The sequence below is a fragment of the Homo sapiens genome, chromosome 14 (assembly GCF_000001405.40).
Source record: "Homo sapiens chromosome 14, GRCh38.p14 Primary Assembly".
NCBI classification, from domain to species: domain Eukaryota; kingdom Metazoa; phylum Chordata; class Mammalia; order Primates; family Hominidae; genus Homo; species Homo sapiens.
Window position 1 is genome coordinate 30,295,740 of NC_000014.9, and position 7,016 is coordinate 30,302,755.

Here is a 7,016-nt window from a genome sequence, read left to right on the forward strand (position 1 = left end):
TCCCTTTTCTAGATTTATGCAAATATAGTAGAAGATGGCTTGAAGTTCAAATGAATATATTTTCTTCTTGGTCCCATATTTCTACAGTGTGATTTTCAAGGTGACTCAATTTTCAATACTGAAATTTTGAATACTCAGAAAATGACATTTACACCATTAAATCAAACATACATACAAACATCCCCCAAACTCTTGTCTATTAGTGCCAAAATCCCTCCAATAAAAACAATAGAGGAATGATCTGATGACTGCCATAGCTGCAGTTGTGTTGAACTCCTGGGTTTGTTTCATTTGAGTTTAATTATTTGTAATGAAACCTCTCCCTCTGTTTGGCCCTAACTAAGGTGTAGGATCACTTGAACTGTGCTGGCAGGTCTCAACTTGTAAGCACAAGTGGCCTCTTTAGCCCACAGGCATGCTGCCTTACACCTGGTACAGGCAGATAGAGAGAGATTAGGACCTGTGGGTGTAACTTAGTTGTGTCTGTCAACATCAGTCAATGCCAAGCTGTGGGAACAATTGTCAATAATGTAGGATCAGGTCCTGCTCATGAATTAGTTTTTCATCCCATTCAATCACTTTACTAAGTAACTACCCCATACAAGGCACTCAACCAGGTGTTTGGAGTGATTACACAGATGAGACCAAGTTCCTGCTTAGAGGAATTATTCCCAACGTATACCTTAGAGCAGTGGTTCTCAAACTCTAGTTCACATCAGAATCACCTGGAGAATTTGTTAGAGACACAGTTTCCTGGGTTCCACCATCAGGATTTCTGATTCAATACAACTGGAGTATGAATCAAGAATTTCCCTTTCTAACGTGTTCCCAAGTGATGCTGATGCTGTAAGTTCATGGAACACGTTGTTAGAATCATTGCATTCAAATGTTTCGGAGGCCCAGGAATCTCTCAGGTTGTTGGTGTACCTAACAAACAGTCATTCAAAAATTGACTTGAAAGAATTTTTCTTCCACATGTATAGCAATTTTAAAAATATTATTGGCACTATTAATTATAAAAACAGTCATAATTGATGATACTTAGTGAGTATTCCATGGCAGCACTAACTGCTTTATACACATTGCTTCAGTGAGTCTTCACAGAAACTCAGTGCATTAGTTCCTTCTCACACTGCTATAAGGAACTACCTGAGACTGGGTAATTCACAAAGAAAAGAGTTTTAATTGACTCACAGTTCCACAAGCTGTACAGGAAGCCTGGCTGGGAAACTTACGATCAAGTCGGAAAGTGAAGGGGAAGCAAGCACATCTTATCATGGTGGAGCAGGAGAGAGCGAGCGAGCGAAGGGGGAGGTGCTACACACTTTCAAACAACCAGATCTCGTGAGAACTCACGCACTATCACGAGAACAGCAGAGGGGAAATCCACTACCGTGATTCAATCACCTCCCACCATGCCCCTCCTCCAACACATGGGGATTACAAGTGGACATGAGATTTCGGTAGGGACACAGAGCCAAACCATATCACTCAGTTAGGCTGGTATTACGGAGGAGGAAACCAAGGATTACAGATGTTAAGAAATTTTCTCTCCACCAAGATTTCTCATTCTAAGCACTTGACATTGTGAGCTGGATAATTCTTTGTTATGGGGCAGGGGGTTGTCTTGAGCACTGCCCTAGACACATAGCTTAGGAAGTGCCTAGCCATTTAACATCCTCAGCTACCATGAGGTTGTATGTAATTTTACTTCAGAAGCACAGAATTTTTTGTTTGTTTGTTTGTTTTTGTTTTGTTTTGTTTTGTTTTGTTTTGAGACGGAGTCTCGCTGGAGTGCAGTGGCGGGATCTCGGCTCACTGCAAGCTCCGCCTCCCGGGTTCAGGCCGTTCTCCCGCCTCAGCCTCCCGAGTAGCTGGGACTACAGGCGCCCGCCACGATGCCCGGCTCATTTATTTTTTGTATTTTTAGTAGAGACGGGGTTTCACTGTGTTAGCCAGGATGATCTCTATCTCCTGACCTGGTGATCCGCCCGCCCCGGCCTCCCAAAGTGCTGGGATTACAGGCGTGAGCCATCGCGCCTGGCCATCCAGAAGCACAGAATTTTAAAGCTGGAAAGAATATTAGAGATGAGCTGCATGAATCCACCCACTTTCAGCTAGGGAATGCATGGTCCATAGAGGTATTACAGTGCTCTGCCAGGAGCCAGGAGGAATTCACACCAATACACCGACTTCTTCTGCAGTGCACAAACTTTTCCTTATTTTTCTGCCCCATTTATTCTCAAGAAATATTCCCAGCCCATGTGCACTCATGACAAGTGCGCTTTACTCTCTGCCAGCAAACACTCAAAAAGCAAATGGCCTGGCTCCTTCTCATTGCATGCCACAGAATGGATGAGAAAACGTATTGGGACCCCTGGGGAAGTTTTGTAAAAAGGCAGGTCCAAACGAAACAAACTGATGGGAGACGAAGACACTCATAAACCTGCCCGAGTCTGCATTTCAAGAAGACAGCTCTGTCGGCAAAAATACAGAGTTTGCTCAATATGAAGAAATCTTGTAATAATATACAATTACAAAACATATAAATGTTAGCAAGTTGAATCACTCATCCAAGTAGTTTTCCTTGTCCAGAGTACAAATTGCAATAATTGGATGAAGACATCTGCACTATTTTAACCTGTCATGTTAAATATCTGTATTTTGTAACTCATCTTGATAGCTAATTTTCATGGAAGTATGTGTTAATTGAGCAAAAAAGACATCTTTAAGATGGTTATCATAAGATAATCACACCCTAGGGCATTGTGAGCAAGAGGTACTGCTCTGGATCTGTGATTCTCCAAGGATATGATTATCACATGATAGCTGCCTCACCTCCTGGAGTGCTACCTTTCTGGGCTGCCTCCTTCTGACTCAGGTGGCTGGTATCGGCTCCCTCTGCTTCTCACAACATTGCACTCTTCCCGGGAGGTTGTTTGGTTTCTCCAAAATAATACCTTAGGGCAAGACACGGTCAGAAAAACATTGTCCTTCAGAATAAGATCACAGGGAAAGTTAAACTTGTTTTTTTTGGAAAATACACACACACACAAACACACACAGACAGTCACTCTGATCCTGTTTCTGTGACCATCCTTTCCAAACTCCAAATGAACGCTCTTATTCTGTATGCCTTCATTCCTCCTTAATGCTCAACAAGTCCTTGCCACCCATACCCTCTACGTATGAAGTCTATTCTCTTTTTTAACAAAAACTACTTGTTTGATTATTATCTAGCTATTTATCTTTCATACTCCTAGCTGAGTATCATGGGCTTTATTTTCCCCCAAAGACTCTTGCTTAATACAGTACACTTTTCCTGTTCTAAGAACACGATGCAAGACAATTTAATGCATTAAATCAAATTTATCAACTTGCAATGTTGAAAATGACCCCTATTCAGTTGTGACAATTAACTCCCACAACCAGCCAATTTGTACATAAAAGACTACAAGATTATTCAGTTGTATATCCATTCTGAGGAATAGCAACAGATCTCTTCCACTGACAGCAACTCTAGCCTTAGGAGTTCCAAAATTAACATATAAGCCATAGCAATATTTCTTAAAGGTGGTGCTGCAGAAGTCAATATGGAATGAAAACTACATTTTCTTAATTTGTTATTTAAGCCTTTCATTTTACAGAATGAAGAGTTGCTATTATTGTAATGTTTACTTTTGAATACATAAACTGTGAAATAATGGCAAAAACATTTGAAAAGTAGCCAGAAGATAAGAGGAAAAACTCCCTATTGACTGTATCTCAGATTCACACACACACACACACACACACACACACACACACGCAAAGAATGTGAAGTGCTTTAAGGCTGTTCTTGAAACTCCAGTTAGAACAAGGAAGGAGACTGTCAATCCTCAGTAATGTATAAAGATTTGAGGTTCTGGATGCATTTTCCTGCTTTGAGTGCATGAAGTTGTCTTTGTTTCAGGTTTCCTTGGCAACCCTTCTCGAAGTGTATACAGGAAGAGCAGGTCCTAAATGGAGTCTGGTCTGAAGAGGGCCTTTAAAAAAAAAAAAAAAAAAAAGAGTCTAAGTTCCCTATTTTTATTCCAGCAGAAGTGCATCTGCGTAATGAAGAATGCACAAGAAAGGAGAACACATCATTTTCCACAATCACAGCTACCTATGTGACAGTGAGATAACAGTGATTTTTGAAAGCCTCTGTTGTTTTTCCGGCTACAAGACATCTAAGGCGGCATGGACTTCCTAGAAAGTTCTTTTTACAGACCATTTTCATCTCAGAGCTGCCTCAATCGCCAAAGATAAGCGGGAGCTATTTGCGTCTGGTGATGCTCTAACTCCAAGTGATTTCTCTTCATAGGAAATGTTCATGATGTCACCCTCAAAGATAAAAGCTTGTTGGAATTGTTAACAATTGACTTTCTCATTTATAAAGGCAATACCTTGCTTAGTCATTTTCTGCGTCTGTGTCCTCTACTTCCTGACCTCCCATTCAGAGCTTGCTTTATGTCTCCCAGATTACTGGCCCTGTTATCGTACCTAGCGCCAGACCCAGTACCTCTACTCAGACCTTATCCTATGCCACTTCAGTTGATGTCTTTCTTAAAACATTCTTCTGACCTGGCTTTGTGACTGCTGTTTTCTCTTCTTCCATTTCCTTATTTTGCTCACAGAGTCAGGTCTAGAGAAAGGCAATTGGGGCACTTTTCTTGGCACAAAATTTGAGGTGCAAGAAAACTCGGCAATCAAAATAAGTAATATCTTAATGCAGTATTAACAAGTGAAATTAAATGCAAAAAAAATAAATAACAAAATGTTAAAATTATAAATAAAAAGGGATTCATGCTGATTTGATCAAGTCAATATTCATTAAAATGCTTTTACTACCCCCTTTCGGGACTCCACCATACCATGCCCAAATTTTAAATTTTGTGTTGTCATGGTACTTTATTTAGCACTTTTATTACATGTCACCAATCATTATTCATACACACATACACACACACATATTCATCTTTTCTCTTTCAATTATTGCTAGTGGTTTTCTCGAATCTTCTCCCCAGATGTGGTATGTAGATAATACATTTTCTTACTTCTTATATATTCTCAAATATTTATATTTGCCCAAACAAGTGAGGGGTACCTTGATTGGATGTAGGATTCCTGGGTTGCCTTCTTTTACTGTCAGTGTTCTTCAGCTATTATTTTGCTGTCTTCTATCCTCCAGTCTTGTAGACGAGAGGTCTGATTGCCAGTTTGATTCTCATTCTTTCTGAAAATAGTTTGTTCCTTCTCTCTGTGAACTTATACAGTTTTCCTTCTATCCTTTGAGCTCAAGAAGATTATTGGGCTAGGCCTAGGTTGTTTTTTCTTCACAGTCACTCCTGGAACTCAGTGAGCCCTTTCAATCTCTACCTTAAATTTTCTTTCAACACAGAGAAATGGTCTTCTATTATTTGTTTAGTTATTGCCTCTTCTCCATTGATTCCTATTTCTCCTTATGAAATTTCTATTGTTTGTATCTTGGGTGCCCTATAGCTGTCCTCCAAAATCATTTATCTTTTCCTTCTTATTTTCTTTATCTTCTATTTATATTCTGATGTGGTGTCCCCTACCACCCCACACACTTAATTTTCCAGGCCACTGATTCAGAATTCAATGGTGACTATCTTCTCCTTCAATTTGTATATTGATCTTTTTCATTCAAAAATTGTGAGATTTTTAGGCCCAAGAATTTGAGAGATTTTGTAGTATGTTTGAACCTCGAGTGTCTTGTTAATTTTTGTCTAAGTTGTTCTCTGTCTCCACCAGCAGTTCTATTTTTATTTAGGAGCTACATATTCTGGATATTGTTCTTCTATCATTGCTAGATCCCCTAGTTTTCTTCACCAACTTCTGACTCACTCTTAGACCTGAGATTCACCCCTTGGGGTGCCCTCAATAGAAGTATTCTGCTTCCACAGATCATCTCTAGCAGGAGGTTTGTCAGTTTGCTATCTGGGCATAAGAAAAAAGACCCTCATCCCCCCTGTGACTCTCCCCTGCAATCAAGATGTGATGTTTAATTTTATGTGTCAGTTTGACTCATTAAGGGATACCCAGATAGCTGGTGAAATATTATTTCTGGGTGTGTCTGTGAGGCTGTTTCTAGAAAAGATTCACCTTTAGGCCGGGCACGGTGGCTCACACCTGTAATCCTAGCCCTTTGGGAGGCCAAGGCAGGATCACTTGAGGTCAGGAGTTCAAGACCAGGCTGGCCAACATGTGAAACCCTGTCTCCATTGAAAATACAAAAATTAGCCAAGCGTGGTGGCAGATGTCTGTAATCCCAGCTGCTAGGGAGGCTGAGGCAGGAGAATTGCTTGAATCCAGGAGGCGGAGGTTGCAGTGAGCCAAGATCGTGCCACTGCACTCCAGCCTGGGGGACAAGAGTGAAATTCCATCTCAAAAAAAAAAAAAAAAAAAAGCAAATAAAAAAAGATTCACCTTTGACACAGTGGGCTAAGTAGGATGATCTGTCCTCACCAATGCCAGTGGGCATCATCCATCCCATTGAGGACCTGACCTGGGTAGAACGAAAAGGTAGAGGAAAAGTGAATTTTCTCTCTCTCTATCCTTGAGCTGAGAAATCTGTCTTCTCCTGCCCTTGGACATCAGAGTTCCTTGGTTCTGGACCTTTGGGCTCTAGGACTTATACCAGGGCACCTGCTCAGCATTCCACCATCCCCACCCCTGGTTCTAGGCCTTTGGCCTTAGACCAAATTACACCAGTAGTTTTCATGGTTTTCCAGCTGCAGATGGCCTAACTCAGGACTTCTCAGCCTCCAAAATTGTGTGAGCCAATTCCCATAAGAAATCTTTTTGTATATCTGTCTACCTATCCTATTGATTCTGTTTTTCTGGAGAACCCTGACTAATATCCTAACAAAGTGAGGGTTCTGCCAGCCTCCAGGGTAGAATGCTGGCACTCACCTGCTCAGCCTCCCCTTGACTCCTGAAGCCAGAAAGGCCACTTCCTTCAGGGACTGCTC

At 41.0% G+C, this 7,016-nt stretch overlaps 1 annotated feature.

The window, feature by feature from the left end:
- Positions 1,184–1,478: an enhancer, noted in NCBI's record as "tiled region #11850; HepG2 Activating non-DNase unmatched - State 20:ReprD, and K562 Activating DNase matched - State 1:Tss". NCBI's record gives its function as "activates a minimal TATA promoter and a strong SV40 promoter by Sharpr-MPRA in HepG2 and K562 cells {active_cell/tissue: HepG2 | K562}" and the evidence as "EXISTENCE:reporter gene assay evidence [ECO:0000049][PMID:27701403]".